The sequence below is a fragment of the Homo sapiens genome, chromosome 7, assembly GCF_000001405.40.
Source record: "Homo sapiens chromosome 7, GRCh38.p14 Primary Assembly".
Lineage (NCBI taxonomy): Eukaryota > Metazoa > Chordata > Mammalia > Primates > Hominidae > Homo > Homo sapiens.
The window spans coordinates 129,387,225-129,403,266 of record NC_000007.14 but is presented as its reverse complement, the minus strand read 5'-3'; the positions used below and the strand labels follow the sequence as shown (position 1 = coordinate 129,403,266).

Sequence of the window (16,042 nt, the reverse complement as noted above, 5' to 3'; positions counted from 1 at the left end):
TCCCATATGGTTATGCAAAGTAACTTAAAGCCAGAGTAAATACAATAATCTGCCAAATAGTCATTATATTGAAGTAAAAGACAATGAGAGGAGAAAGGCCAATTGTAATTCGCGCAGCCAAACGACCCTCCCCGTGACATATCTACTGTATCAAAATATACAGCAACTAACCGAGGATTTTCTTATGGATTGGTAACTTGTAGTTACTAGGCCACTAGATCTTGAATCTACTATAGGTATTCAGAAAGCCTAAAGGGACTTTAAATATATTCAGTCAAGACTTAGTTTAAATAAACAGCCTCAGTTTACACAGCCTCTTGAGAAAAAAAAGAAAAATAAATCAATAAATGGTCAGATAATTAAGTCTCCCTGTCAGAACAATGGTTTATAAAACTGTATTCCTTAATCCTTTTCTTCTCCCAAAGTATAGGCACTCTCCCACCCAAAATATCAGGCAGCACTGTAGGGTTTTGCCTAGCACAACCTCACACTCTGTACAAACCAAATTAAAAATAACCAGGGAACCGTGCAGCATGTAGGTGTGCAAGCATGCCTCTGAACAGCTCATCTATCACTATTTCAGGTTGGGATTAAAGATAAACACAACGCTGTGCCCACTGGAGCTTTCATCAGCAGAGAAAAGCTTTTGAATTATAAAACTAAAGAAAAACCAGCTTAGAACATTGTTAGGCACGAGGCTGTGACACTTCAGTCCTTCCCTAGGCTGTCAGAAGTGTTTAGCAGGACTCTGCAAATTGTTATACCCATCCTCCTGGAAAGTCCCACAGAACTGGGTTGCCCTCTGCTGACATGCACCCATCTTGCAGTCTCATCAATTATCAACTCTACTATAAGTGCCAAAACTGCCATTCTGGACCCCAGAGTACACAAAATCCCCAACCTCATGTCTACCACCTGATCTCTTTTTTGCTTTTGCTCTTGCTGTTGACCTATTTTCTCTCACTCAAACCTTGCTTGAGAACCAGGATCCAAGTTAGGACTCTCATCAAAGCTCTTGTACTTGCTCCATACTACAAGTAGAAACCCCCAGAACAGATGCCCCAAGAAAGCAAAAAGCTCTTCTGAGTTTCTCTCTCCCATTCTCCATGTATGGAATCCCTGATGAAGTTTTCCCTTCCACAGAAAAGATAAGAGACAAGAGAGATTGAACAACTGGAAACTCTGTGTTGTAAGTTTCACTATTCTTATCCACTAGAGACAGTAGTTGCTGTCTCTAAGATTTACTTAATGAATGCTGCCCATAATTCTCACCATATAAATCTACTGCAGAAAATTATTGTCATCAGGAAATCTTCCAGAGGTTGGGAAGCAAGGAGAAGTACTAAATCTTGACAGAATCCAAACAGGTATGGGTCCTGTTTTCTGGGGTGACAACTGTTTTTGTCCTTGTCTTACTCTCTTTATTAACCTTCCTAGCAGTTTGTGCTGGTTCTACAGTTTGTAAAAGTTCTCCAGGTATAATCCTAATGTCCTCCCTGGGTTCCTGACTTTAAAAATCAATGTTTTATTCCCAGGAGAAACCCCCTGGCATATCTGCTTCAGCATCTGTCAGTCACACTCCCTTGTGTCACTATTAAAACTGTTGGAATGAGCTGACTCATCTTACAGCCACTGTCAACTCTGCTCCCCCACCCCTTTAGGATATGAAGCTCTAACCCAGCTTCCTCAAACAAGCCTGGTGCAGTGTGACCTGGATCACAGAATTCAGAAAGAAGCTACTTCTCTGCCATGCACCAAGTGAGGCCTGCTCTGCAGCCTTCAGCAGCAAGCAATGGTTGGACTAGAGCTTCAGGGATTCTTTTCTCAGTACATTCCCTAATTTCTGCCCCCTCCCCCTAGGGGAGAGGGCAGAATTATTTGCAAAATAGGAGCACCTTATACTTTGTGTAGCTTTTTTGGGGGGGGGCACTGGGATGGGGGCATGGTTTCACTCTCTCACCCAGGCTGGACTGCAGTGGTGTGATCTCGGCTCACTGCAACCTCCACCTCCTGGGCTCAAGTGATCCTCCCACTTAGGAGTCCCAGCCTCCTAAGTAGCTGGGACTACTACTACAGGTGCATGCCAACACATCCTGCTAATTTTTGTATTTTTTGTAGAAAGCCTATGTTGCCCAGGCTGGTCTCGAACTCCTGGGCTGAAGTAATCCACCTGCCTTGGGCTCCCAAAGTGCTGGGATTACAGGCCACCACACCTGGCCCTTTGTGTAGCTTTTTGCCTCTTTGCAAATCTAATGTGCTATGAGGCTTCAAGACTTGATCTTCTAAAAAATAAAACAAAAATAAAAATGAAGCAAAAATTAAAACCCTAAAACTTCATCTCGTCTTTTTTAATGTGGGGAAAGAATATAAAGAGAAGAAATTTGAACTTGTAAGCTCTTCAGGTTTACTATAAATTCATTATATGAATATTATTTTTATTTTTTTTCTAGTCCTGACTAACATTACAAGTATATGGATTCTAGAGAGAAGGCTAAGTATCTCCAGAGTTCTGGGGTGGTTTGTTTGGGTTTTTTGGTTGTTGTAAGGGGTGGGAAGTAGGCAGTAGCAGGGGATGGAAACTCATTACTATTGTTTTTTAACCAGCCACATGTGAATCCTGGGCAGTGCTTTAATGTTTCTAATGAATATAAATGCTTCCAACATTAGAACCAATAATTAAGGCACTCTGAGGTTATAAGAGCTTCAATACTCTTGGGGTACCCGTAGCATAAGAATCTAGTTCTGCTGGAAACCCAGGTATATCAGATAGAAATGAAGCCATTTTCCTTCCTTCTTGTTGGGAAACCCTCTCCTAGGCCATAACCTCCACCCATCCCCATTCCTGACCCCTACAGAATTGTGTTAGCAGAAATCTGACCCACCATGTTTGGCTGCCAGCCCTCCACATTCACACATCTATCGATACACCACCAAAAGTCATCTTCTGACTCTCCCTTCCAGGCAAAAACAGGAAATCCTGGGAAAAAAAGGAACAAAGGGAAACCATTAAAGACCAAAAAAGGCTGACCCCCTAATTTTAGTGAGAAGATTCTGGTTTTTCCTAATTTCCAACTCTCTCATTCTGCTATACTCCTTGGATTGACATTCTTCACTGATTGGCGTTGCCTTCAGCCCCTTTATCCATTCCTTTGTCTTTGTTGGTCATTCTGCTCTTATTAGCCCAAGGAGGACAAGCAGAATGGACAAAAGTATGACAGTTGTTTAAAATGTAATGAAAGGGGGCCAGGTGCGGTGGCTCACTCCTGAAATCCCAGCACCTTGGGAGGCTGAGGTGGGTGGATCACCTGAGGTTAGGAGTTCAAGGCCAGCCTGGCCAACATGATGAAACCTGTTTCTACTAAAAATACAAAAATTAGTTGGGCGTGGTGGTGCATGCCTGTAATCTCAGCTACTTGGGAGCCTGAGGCAGGAGAATTGCTTGAACCTGGGAGGTGGAGGTTGCAGTGAGCCAAGATCGTGCCACTGCACTCCAGCCTGGGCGACAGGGCGTGACTCTGTCTCAAAAAAAAAAAAAAAAAAAAGTGACTAAAGGGAAAACAAAAACCAGAAACAGGTACTTCTTGATCCACTCAAACTGGCATTCTCACCATTTCCCAATTACACTTTAATTTTTCTTGCTTCTATACTTTAATCATTCCACCCTATTATTAAGAAAAAAACCCTTACGTGTTTCTCCACTTGCTAAAACGTTACTAGAATTCATAGCCCAGTTAAGTGTCATGTTCCTAATGAAGTCTGATTAACCCAGCTGGAAATGAGCTCTCAAGGAATCTTAACTTTTCTTTTCTTTTTTTTTTTTGAGACGGAGTCTTGCTCTGTCACCCAGGCTGGAGTGCAGTGGCATAATCTCGGCTCACTGCAACCTCTGCCTCCTGGGTTCAAGCGATTCTCCTGCCTTAGCCTCCTGAGTAGCTGGGACTACAGGTGCGTGGCACCACGCCCAGCTAATTTTTGTACTTTTAGTAAAGACGGGGTTTCACCATATTGGCCAGGCTGGTCTCGAACTTCTGACCTCATGATCCGCCCACCTCAGGCTCCCAAAGTGCTGGGATTACAGGTGTGAGCCACCGCGCCTGGCCTCTTTTTTTTTTTTTTTTTTTTTTTGAGATGGAGTCTCACTCTGTCACCCAGGCTAGAGTGCAGTGGCGCGATCTCGGCTCACTGCAGCCTCCGCCTCCTGGGTTCAAGCGATTCTCCTGCCTCAGCCTCATGAGTAGCTAGGATTACAGGCCTGCACCACCACACTCAGCTAATTTTTGTACTCTTAGTAAAGACAGGGTTTCACCATGTTGGCCACGCTGGTCTTGAATTCCTGACCTCAGGTGATCCACCTGCCTCAGCTTCCCAAAGTGGGAATCTGAACTTTCCTAAGCCTCTTGTTTGTGTAGTGAATATGGATTTATAATCTGTCATGGCATTTATTATATATGTCCTTGTATCATCATTATTTATATATGTGTATTATCTCACCAAAATATAAGATTCTGAGGGTAAGGACATTGTCTCATTTGCCCTTACAGCTCTTAGCGTAGGTCAGTAAGCATTTGTTTAAAAAAAAAAATGGGGCAGCCGGGTGCGGTGGCTCACACCTGTAATCCCAGCACTTTGGGAGGCCGAGGCAGGCAGATCATCTGAGGTCAGGAGTTCGAGACCAGCCTGACTAACATGGTGAAACCCCGTCTCTACTAAAAATACAAAAATTAGCCGGGTATAGTGGAGGGCACCTGTAATCCCAGCTACTCAGGAGGCTGAGGCAGGAGAATCGCTTGAACCTGGGAGGCAGAGGTTTCAGTGAGCCGAGATCATGCCACTGCACTCCAGCCTGGGCGACAGAGTGAGACTTCATCTCAAAAAAAATAAATAAATAAAAATAAAAATAAAAATAAAAAATAAAAATTAAATTAAATTTAAAAAAAAAAACAGAAAAAAGAAATGGGCTGGGCATGGTGGCTCACACCTGTAATCCCAGCACTTTGGGAGGATGAGGCAGGAGGATCACTTGAGGCTGGCTGTTTGAGACCAGCCTGAGCAACACAGCAAGACCCTGTGTCTTCAAACATTTTTTTTAAATTAGCTGGGCATGGTGGCACATGCCTGAAGTCCCAGCTACTCAGAAGACTGAAGTGGGAGGATCACCTGTTCCTAGGAATTGAAGGATGCAGTGAAACACGACTGCACTACTGCACCCCAGCCTGGGTGACCCAGCAAGACTCCGTTTCTACTTTTAAAAAAAGGAAAAGAAATGAATGCGTATGTACAATTCACTGGGGTACACATTTAATATTTGTATTAATAAAGTATTAAATATTTTTCTATCATATATACAGCCATAAAATCTTATAAATAAGTAAATTAAAATGAAAGAACAAATGAAATGCTGAGAGTGCTAGCTGTACTGCCAAAGAGTAAAGGCAAGAGGCTGGCAAAGTCCAAATTTCTCTATTTCTTTTGTCCATCAAGTACCAGTGGATGTTGTGATCAAATATTAATCTGCCAGGTCAAGTCTTCTTTACTCCTGAAGCAGAAACACCAAACATTAAGTCAGGGCAAATTACTTGCTGGAAAACCAACAGAGTCACAAAACTATGGCTGAAGCATTTTCTCCTTTAATCCATGTTACCTCAGTGAGTAGTGTTCACTAGTGCTCTGCTATTAGTGAATTAGTGAGTTAAAACAAAGCATTACCTAACAATAGAATATTAGACATAGGTAGATATTTGTCAACTGTAAAATAGCAAAGTTAACTAGATCATATTTGACAAGCGAAGGCCAGAAAAAGAGCAAATTCATGAAGAATCGAGATCCATTTCTTCCAAGATAGTTCTTTTATTGTCAACCTTCTTTAAAGATTTATGCTGAAACATAAAGTAAGTCTCCAAATAGACTTACTTTAGCCAAAGGCACAGAGAATAAGCTCTTACCACTTTCTGCTAGAGCAGCAGCCACTTCATTGAGAGTGGAATAGATGTTGCAGGCAGCCCATCGGCACTGGGCCCCCAGAGCACCCAGAGTTTCCATAAGCACCTGTATTAAAGACAAAGCAGGGTATGAGCAAGCCTGGGCCAAACAACTAGTCAAGGAGATAAAGTTTATATATTTTACAATCAGAAAATACAACGGGAATGACTTAAGCCAGTGATTTTCAAATTGGGCTCTACAGAACCTCTTCAGTATTCTAAGAAGGCAAGTATTGGGGGAAGCCATGGGAAGAGGGAGGCTCCAGCTGACTCTATGTTTTTACCAATTTAAATTAAGCTTCCCCATAAGATTTAATAAACCAAGGACTTCAGAGCCAAAACTTTTCTGAAAAAACAGATTTACAGTTCTGCTTCTGCTTAGAACATACAAAGCTACAAGAGAAGCTCCCACCTTAACGACAGGAAAAAGCTGGGTAGCTACTAGGAAGGCTGAGGTGGGAGGACTGCTTGAGCCTGGGAGATGGAGGTTGTAGTGAGTCATGACTGTGCCACTGCACTCCAGCCTGGACAACAGAGTGAGACCCTGTCTCCAAAAAACCAAACACACGGCCAGGAACGGTGGCTCACGACTGTAATCCCACTTTGGGAGGCTGAGGTGGGCGGATCACCTGAGGTCAGGAGTTTGAGACCAGCCTGGCCAACATGGTGAAACCCTATCTCTACTAAAAATACAGAAAAATTACCCAGGCATGGTGGCGCATGCCTGTAATCCCAGCTACTCGGGAGGCTGAGGCAGGACAATGGCTTGAAACGGTGAGGCGAAGATTGCAGTGAGCTGAGATTGCACCATTGCACTCCAGCCTGGGCAACAAGAGCAAAGCTCTGTCTCAAAAACAAACAAATGGCGGGGCGCGGTGGCTCACGCCTGTAATCCCAGCACTTTGGGAGGCCGAGGCGGGCAGATCACAAGGTCAGGAGATCGAGACCATCCTGGCTAACACGGTGAAACCCCATCTCTACTAAAAATACAAAAAAAAATTAGCCGGGTGTGGTAGCGGGCGCCTGTAGTCCCAGCTACTCGGGAGGCTGAGCCAGGAGAATGGTGTGAACCTGGGAGGCAGAGCTTGCAGTGAGCCGAGATTGTGCCACTGCAGTCCAGCCTGGGCAACAGAGCAAGACTCCGTCTCAAAACAGAACAAAACAAACAAACAAATAAATGAACAAATAAACACACAAACACACACAAACCCCAAAAACTGGGTAATCTACAAAGCCAAACTTTTCTTGAGCCCATCAAAGATTTGAGGTCATAAAGCACAGAAGTGAACTGCCCTCCAAAGAGTGACAAATCCTTTTAAAGAGAGAGGGAAGACTGTTTCACCTTTGGCAGTGCATGGGGGGAAGAAATGGCTGCCACAGATAAGAATAAGAAAATATCAGCTAAACTTTTGAACAATTACGAAAGGCTGGGTGTGGGAAAGTGTGTCAATGTGGAATTTTTTGAAGCTCCAGACACAAGTAGATTTCCCATTCACATGCAGGCTGTTTTCCAGAGGCTTCCACCCAGTGCTCAAAACAAAGACTGGGGCAGGGAGCTGATTGGCTGTGCTCAGAAACAGACATGAAACCTGGGCACTTCCCTACACTCTTCTCTCATAGGAACCAAAGCCTCAAGCTGTAGGAAGAGCAGGAATTGGGCCTGCCATTAGGGACTAGGCAAAGATCCACTGTGTCTGGAGGAAGGCAGAAGCAAAAACTCTGCCTCTGGGAGAGGCACAGGAAAACCTCTTGGGCCCAGGACAGTTCACTGATACAAAGTAAGGATCTGCTACCTCTCCAGCTCTCCAGGAAGGGCAGGAAAATATGTCTTGCCCAAGACCCACCACAGATTCAAGGCAAAGTTTGGCTGCTACAGATAGGAGAGGCAGGAATATTGAGAAAACCCTGCCCCTCACAGAGGTCTGCCTAAGACTGAGACTGCACCAGAGATCCAAGAACCCCACTTGCCCTCACCGTGTGCTTAGCCCCAGGAAACAAAGAGCAGCAGTCTAGTGCGGCAGATGAGGCAGGTACTTGAAAAGAGGACACTTCTGTGGCACACATGTGCAGAAGTAGCTGAAGGCTGAGGGTAAAGCAGAAGCACTGAGGAATGTCCTTTGGTAACCTCAAATCACAAGGTTATAGCAGTCCACTGCTGGAGGAATTTGAAGCCTTTGTTGATATACAATGAACTCTAAATTCAGCCCAATTCATGACTATAACGAAAACTAATATACTACCACTCAATTAAAAATGTCAGGACATACAAAAAGTAAAAAAAAAAACCCACTGTCAGGAAATAAGTAAACAACAGAGGCAGGCTCTCAGATGAGCCAGATGTTTGATCAGACAGGAGATATAAAATAACTATGATTAATATGTTTATGTTATTTATTTATATTTTTTTATACACAGGATCTTGCTATATTGCCCAGGCTGGACTAATATGTTTATGTTAAAGGATCTAGTTGAGAAAGATAGACAACATCTATGAATAGATAGAAAATTTCAGCAGAGATGGAAACAATAAAAAGTCAAATACAGGCTGGGTGCAGTGGCTCAGGCCTGTAAAGGCCAGCACTCTGGGAGGCCAAGGTGGGCAGATCACCTGGGGTCGGGAGTTTGAGACCAGCCTGACCAACATGGAGAAACCCCATCTCTACTAAAAATACAAAATTAGCTGCTTGGTGCCACATGCCTTTAATCCCAGTTATTCGGGAGGCTGAGGCAGGAGAATCGCTTGATCCCAGGAGGTGGAGGTTGTGGTGAGCCAAGATTGCACCGTTGCACTCCAGCCTGGGCAACAAGAGCAAAACTCTGTCTCAAAAAAAAAAAAAAAAAAAAAAAAGTCAAATACAAATGCCAGGAAAAAAAAAAAGTCAGATTAAAAGTTCCTTCAACAGGTTTATCATCAGACCGGGCACATCCAAGGACAGAATCAGTGAACCTGAAGATAGACCAATAAAAATTACTGAACTGAGCCAGGCACAGTGACTCATGCCTGTAACCCTAGCGCTTTGAAAGGCTGAGGCAGGAGATCGCTTGAGGCCAGGAGTTTGAGACCAGCCTGGGCATCACAGCAAGATCTCTTCTCTACAAAAAATTAAAAAAAATTAGCCAGGCATAGTGGTATATGCCTGTAGTCCCAGTTACTTGGGAGGCTGGGGCAGGAGGATCGCTTGAGCCCAGGAGTTTGAGGCTGCAATGAGCCTGCAATGATTGTACCACTGCACTCCAGCCTGGGTGACACAGTGAGACCCTACTCAACAAAACAAAACAACAACAAAAAAAGAAATTACTGAACTGAAATACAAAAAGAAGAAGACTGGCAGAAAAAAATCACAACGGAGTGCTCAAAATCTATGGGGTCTATGGGAGTCTATGGATTCTTTCCCTCTTTGCCTTCTGGAACTCCAGTTACATGTATGGAGAGGGAAAAAAGAGGATCTGGGAACAATGACATTTCAAAAGCAAAGAGCACATTAGTGCCCAGATCCACTAAAAGGAGCTAGGCATTCTGGGAGAAATGGCTGGTTCCAAGAGTAGGGCATGGAATGTTCAAGATGAGCTTAGGTGATCTTGTACCAAAAGCAAGGAAATGTTCAAAGAATGAAAGGGATATATCAAAAGACAAAAGAAGTCACAGAAGCCACACTGAAGAGGCTCTCCCTGGTCAAACTGGGAACAAGATGATCATGTAAATAAGTAATGATAGTAATGGATTATAACCTATTAAATAAAATAGGAAACAATGATTCCATACAAATAAAAATAATGAATAAATCAAAGTAAGATAAAGAATGAGATATTTACAGTTTCATAGTACTATCTCACATAAACATATTAATTCTATTTTTATTTATTTTTGAGACAGGGTCTCACTCTGTCACCCAGGCTGGAGTGCAGTGCAATCTCAGCTCACTGCTCACTGCAATCTCGACCTTTCGGGCTCAATCAATCCTCCCACCTCAGCCTCCCAAGTAGCTGGAACTACAGGCACATGCCACCACACCTGGCTAACTTTTGTATTTTTTTGTAGAGATGGGGTTTTACCATGTTGCCTAGGCTAGTCTTCAACTCCTGGGTTCAAGTGATCTGCCAACCTTGACGTCCCAAAGTGCTGGGATTACAGGCGTGAGCCATCACACCCAGCCCAAAAAACATATTAATTATAAACTGGGAAAAAAACTTTTACAGAGGAAAATCCTGGGAGACACCACCTCAATCAAGGGATTAAAGTGAATATCATCAGTTCTGGGACAAACTGAAATCATGTGTCACCTGATAGGATATATCACTTCCCTGAATTCCCACCATAGATGTATAGCCTGAATCTCATAATGAGGAAGCATCAGAAAAATCCAAATTGAGGAAATTCTACAAAATAATTCATCTGTAATCTTCAAAAGTGTCAAGGTCATGAAAATCAAAGAAAGACTGAGAAACTGTTCTGTACTAATGAAGATTAAAAAGACATGACAACTAAATGTGACATATAACCATGGACTGGATTCTTTTGTTAGAAAAATATTATCAGAACAACAAGCGAAACTCCAGTGGGATCTAAGGATTGGATGGTAATAATGAATCAATGTTAATTTTCTACTTCTGATGGTTATACTGCTAGTACAGGAAAATGTCCTTCTTTGTAGAAAATACACACTAAAGTATTTGGGGATTGCTATGGTCTGAATGTATGTTCTCCTCCCCCAGAGTCATATGTTAAAAACTAACCCCCTAGGCGATGGTATTAAAAGGTGATTATGGAAGTGATTGGAAGGTGATTAGACATGAGATTTCTGCCCTCACAAATGGGATTAGTGTACTTATAAAACAAGCCTGAGGAAGCTTGCTTGCCCCTTTGGCCATGTGAGGGCACATAGAAAGCGCCATCTATAAGGAACAGGCCCTCACCAGATACTGAATCTGCTGGCGCCTTGATCTTGGACTTCCTAGCCTCCAGAACTGTGAACAATAAATATCTATTGTTTATTAATTACCCAGTCTAAGGTATTTTGTTATAGCAGCCCAAATGAACTAAGACAAGAGTGAAAGAGTATTAGGTTGGCAAACAAAGCATAATTTCTTTGTCGTTATTTTTTTAAAGGAAAAAAATGTGGGGTGGAAACAATAAATTAATATTAAAATTGGTAAGCTAATTGTGATCAATCCATTCAGGAAAAAAATAGAAAGGGAACCATGAAAGGTGGTAATGCTCACTGAGCCTAAGGGTAAAAAACAAACTAGATGTAATTCAGCAACATGAGACAGTAGAGAAGCACTTACTATTTTAAGCTACCACACTGAAGTCTCATGTCGCTGACTGAGCAGGCCAAAAAAGATTCAAGAGTGTTTCTGTCTTGATTCATTAGTTTGTAGCTCCAAAACAGATAGCTTTTCAATTTATTATATTAATTTTGAGCAGTCAGGGTACTCTTGTCCTCAGAGAACACATAACCCAGAAAAGTTTCATAGTGAAGATGCTAATAGAAGCTGTCTGTACCTTGAGGAATCTCTAATGTTCTTAATCAGGAATGTGACCACATAAGTGTTGTGCTTTGGGAGAGACAATCTTTGGAAAGCTGATCTAGCCACACAGATGACCCAGATCTTATGAATCCCCATAAAAGATTCCAGACCACTGCTCAATATAACAATTTCCCGATAGTGGTCTCATTATGGTTAGCAACTCCATATATATTGCATCTCTGGTGATAAAAGAGGAGATCTAGAAAATTGTGGGGGCATTTTTGGTTGCCACAATAATTGGAAGGGGAGTGCTATTGGCATTTAGTGGGCAGGACCAGGAATCTGGACATTTTGAAAGTGTCTCAACAAAAAACTGTGTTGCAGCTGGTACAATTTTCAAATGTCCCAATAAAAGTTCCCATGGGTGAAAAACCTATCTACAATTATCTGAGTTTAGAACCTAATTCCACTTTACAAATTAGCAAAAAGTAGTTTTGTAGTTTTAATACAAAACAATAGTTTTTCCAGGAATGTAACAGCTATGTAAATGAAGAGAAAACTCATACTTTTTGTTGTTCTTATTGTTTAGAAGATTACAAAAAGTTGTTTACTATTTCAGAAAATCATGGCAATGCTGCTCTGATGCTCTGGAATCAATAACACATTTATTTCTGTCTTCAAATAATACTATTTCAAATAATACTGTGAAATAGTACAAATATCTGATTGTTCTACTATAGTTGTCCTCAAGTATTTACATATTGAAATACACATTATTTTAAGTATTGTACTTTTTTTATTCCTCCTTCATATTTCAGTTAAGATTTTATATTGATTTATTTTTAAAGATTATATGTACCTGGACATGTTATATCTGAATTTCATTTCAGGATAGTTCAGGGACACTGCAAAAAAAAAGTTTTTTAATAAAAAGGGGACATTAAAACTGATGAGAGTAAGGTAGGAATCACTGGTGTAAGCAAATCATGGTAATTCCACGCCCCTCGGTAGGACTGGTGGAGCACAGATACATGATCCAGTTCTGCCCAATGAGACACGATGGAGTATCCTGGAGGGACTTCTCTTGAGTGAGGAAGAAATGGTCCCTCTTCCTTTTCATGTCAGTTTGTGATGACTAGAATAGTTGTAAGCATCTTGCTATCAGCTTTAGGGTGAAGTAAGCATACTGAGGAGGCAGCTCCAAGAGAATCAGAGAGGTGAAGCTGGAGCCCTGAGATCCTGCATCTGAAGTCTGCCTTCCCTTTGGACTTTCTGCTATGTACTGTGATAAATTCCTTTATGTGACATAACTTTTATTACAGTCTGTTGTTGTAATTGCTCTCTTTTATTTTGAGTTACTGTTGTTCATTTCTTACTGTGCTGAATTTATAGCTGTCTCTCAGTATCCTCAGGGGATTTATTCCAGCACTCCCATGGATACCAAAATCTGAGGATGCTCATGTCCCTTATATAAAATGATGCAGTGTTTGCATATAATCTGTGCACATCCTTCTGTATATTTTAAAGCATCTCTAGGTTATTTATAGTACCCAATACAGTGTAAATGCTATGTAAATAGTTGTTATATTTCTTGTTATTTTGTATTGTTGTATTATTTTATTTTCTGAATATTTTTGATCTGCAGTTGGTCAAATCCTCAGGAAGCAGAACTGGTGGACATGCAGGGCCAATTGCATAAATTAAACTTGATTATAGGTATATATGTATAGGAAAAAACATAGTATATATAGGGTTCAGTACTGTCTGAAGTTTCAGGTGTCCACTAGGGGTCTTGAAACTTATCCCCCACAGACAAGGCAGGGGGACTACTGTATATTGAAGTTAAAATCTTGACTCTGTGATTTCTAGCTGTATAACCTTAAACAAATATCTTAAGCCCTCTGAGCCTCAGCTTCTTCGTTTATAAAATGGAAACAAGAATACCTGCTTTATATGGCCATTATAAGGATTAATAAGCTAATACTTGTTAAGCTCTTAACTCGGTGCTTGGCATGTTGTAAGCTTTCAGTAGCTCGTGGCTATTATTAACTATTGTAATTAAAAGGAGAAAAGAAAAGAACTCACAGCAGTCTGAGCAGTGATGTGTGTGCAACCCACGATTTTGGCTCCAGCCAAAGGCTTTTCTCCTTGAGCTCTCTTCCTCAAAGCCATCAATGCAGGCATTTCTGAAAAGGCCCAATAAATACAGCAATATTAAAGAAGAAGGAATAAGAGATAAAAGAACAAACAGAAAAACTTGTTTTCTTAAGTTAAGATCCTTCCCCTGATCAGGTTAGATTAGGTTTCTCCAGGGATCAAGACATTAAACCTGTATTTTCCTTTATAAAGGGCTTTTGGAGGCAAATGCTCCAGGGTTCTGATTCTCTATATTCCAGTCCTTATCCAGTCTCTCTCCCTTTTTTTTTTTTTTTTTTAATACAGGGTTCCTTCTAGACTTGCCAGATTTCCCCAGTGTTTCTTGAACTCACATTTCTTTTGTTATAAGTATTCTTATCACATAGAAATTTCACAAGCTACCAGACCCCAGACATAAAAAGGGATTAATATGGACAAAAAGACACAGGTAGGTTAAGAAGGAAAAGGTGCTTGTTTTCTTTACCTTGTTCAGCAATTTCAATTTCTCTTCGTCCAAACTCTGCCTGTTTGATGTTCTTAACACAGAAGTCACTGCTTCCCTTAGAGTTCTTTTGCTGCTTGTCCCTGGGCGATGTCTCATCATCAGAGCTATCTGTATATGAAGCCGCTGGAATGACAGAATAAAAAACACTCGGAAAAAAAAAAATGCTTCCTCTAAAATTCCAAACCATGGAGCAAACTGAAGCTTCTCTAGCCACCTAGCACCATATAAATTTTTTTACCTCTGTTAAGTACCTGCAGGCTATACACATGCCAGAAGAGGGAAGCTGAAAGAGATTGCCAAAGACATTCTTCCTGGATAGCCTTAACTTGAAATGTAGGGCTAACTTTATCTTCAGAACACGCAGAGGTCCTTGAATACGCAAAAAGAAAAGGTTACACCATGGTAGCATTAGGTTAAAGTTCCTAATGCAAGATCGTGGTCATTAACATATGGGTTTTTGGGATTCTAACTACTCTGCTCTGTGTGCTGCTTAAATGTTTGATATAATTTGTGTTTTAGTACAATTACTGAACAGATAAGACCTAGAAAACAAGGAATCCATGGGAAAGTAATTAAGAACCACACAAAAAGTATTTGTCTGACCTAACAGAGCTTTCTTTTTTAAGACGGACTCTGATGAGGCTGAATTGTGCCTGCAGACCCAATTAGACATTGACAATGAAGTATTCAATGTGCTCTCCCTTCTTGCTGGCCTCAGTAGGTCTGGCGTTAGGCATTTTAGACTCCCAAAGAAGTGAATAAATCCTCCTTTGGTACAATAAAATGCTCTGATAACTAATCCATTTAGCAACATATACTAGAGTGTGAAAGGCCTAAAACTTTTTATCGTGGTTAACAGGCAGCTGCTGCTACTACTATTCACATGCTTAGCTGGGGTCTTTTTAGTCTTCATAGGATTCTGTAGTTACTAACCATTTGCTAGATTATTTGAAGCAGTGTCCTTCCCTGATTTGTGTTTGAGCTTCTGAAGATAGTTCTTAACCCCCAAGTTTTTTGGGGGGTTAAGAAACACTCTCTAGAAAACGCTTTGTATCTCTCAATGGAATAAGTACTGCCATCACTTTTAAGGGTAGAAAACTGTGAAAGCTCAGAGTGCCTACGGTCTACGATGCTCTGATCTACTTATATGCAGAGAATTAAGGCATTTCTGAGATTTCTTAGCAAAGGGTCTACCTCTGCGAGGGCTGTAAAAGGCAAGTCTGACCTTGCCCAGTTAATCAGGCATGGCACTACAAACCATTTGGGCAGCAGGGGCTTCAGAATCTCTTTTGGAGCTGGAGCAAAGTCCTAACACGAGGCAACAGGAATGAACATGGGCACCAGGGGAGGTGAGGGAATTAGTAAATCCCCAAAGAGACTTTTGTTCTTGAAAGGAGCTAATCTGTACAAAAAGTTTGTGGTTCCCTCTCCTAGGGTGAGTGAAAGCTCAAAGTACTTTTGGCAACAGAACCCAGACACAGCTTTCTGGGAAGTCATCTGTTTTACTAATCAATATTCAGAAATACCTAATAAATCAGAGGCTTAGGGGAACCATGCTTCTACCACCTGAGAGATAAAAAGATAACAGCCATCTCTAATCCCGATCCAGATTTATGGAAAATTACTTTTGAAGAAAGTGTTCATATTCAGAATATCCTGAAATCTCAAATTCTTTTTCAGAGTCATGATGATTTTTATGCTTCCCAATGGCCATTTAAATATAGCGGTCATGTGTTCTGGAGTCAGTCTTTGGTTTAAGTCTCAGTCTCTGTTTTTGGGTGTATAAAGTGGAGCTGATCCGTTTGAAAGAGTTGTTAATTTATTCACGTATTCAGTCATTCACACACTCAGGTGTTTATTCAAATTTTAGTTATGCATCTATTATGTACTAGGCATAGCCTAGGTGCTGGAAATACAGGACAGATATAGATGGTCCTTATCTTCATGGAGTTTT

General features: G+C 41.3%; 1 protein-coding gene across 17 annotated transcripts in view; it reads right to left on the bottom strand.

Moving 5' to 3' along the window:
• Positions 1-16,042, bottom strand: part of AHCYL2 (adenosylhomocysteinase like 2) — a 205,182-nt gene that overhangs the window by 26,945 nt on the left and 162,195 nt on the right. For 15 of the 17 annotated variants that reach the window (NR_171671.1, XM_047420088.1, XM_047420087.1 and 12 more), the window contains 4 exons: positions 14,068-14,211; positions 13,533-13,633; positions 5,943-6,045; positions 2,883-2,977 (listed from right to left, as the gene is read on the bottom strand). Coding sequence is in view for 16 of the 17 variants with exons in the window: in XM_047420088.1 (XP_047276044.1) it covers positions 2,883-2,977; positions 5,943-6,045; positions 13,533-13,633; positions 14,068-14,211 (443 nt within the window). In the remaining variant the exon portion in view is untranslated. Of the gene's footprint in view, positions 1-2,882; positions 2,978-5,942; positions 6,046-13,532; positions 13,634-14,067; positions 14,212-14,326; positions 14,458-15,021; positions 15,210-16,042 lie in introns of those variants that run through there. The other 2 variants (NM_001393390.1, NM_001393387.1) reach the window with 2 other exon arrangements.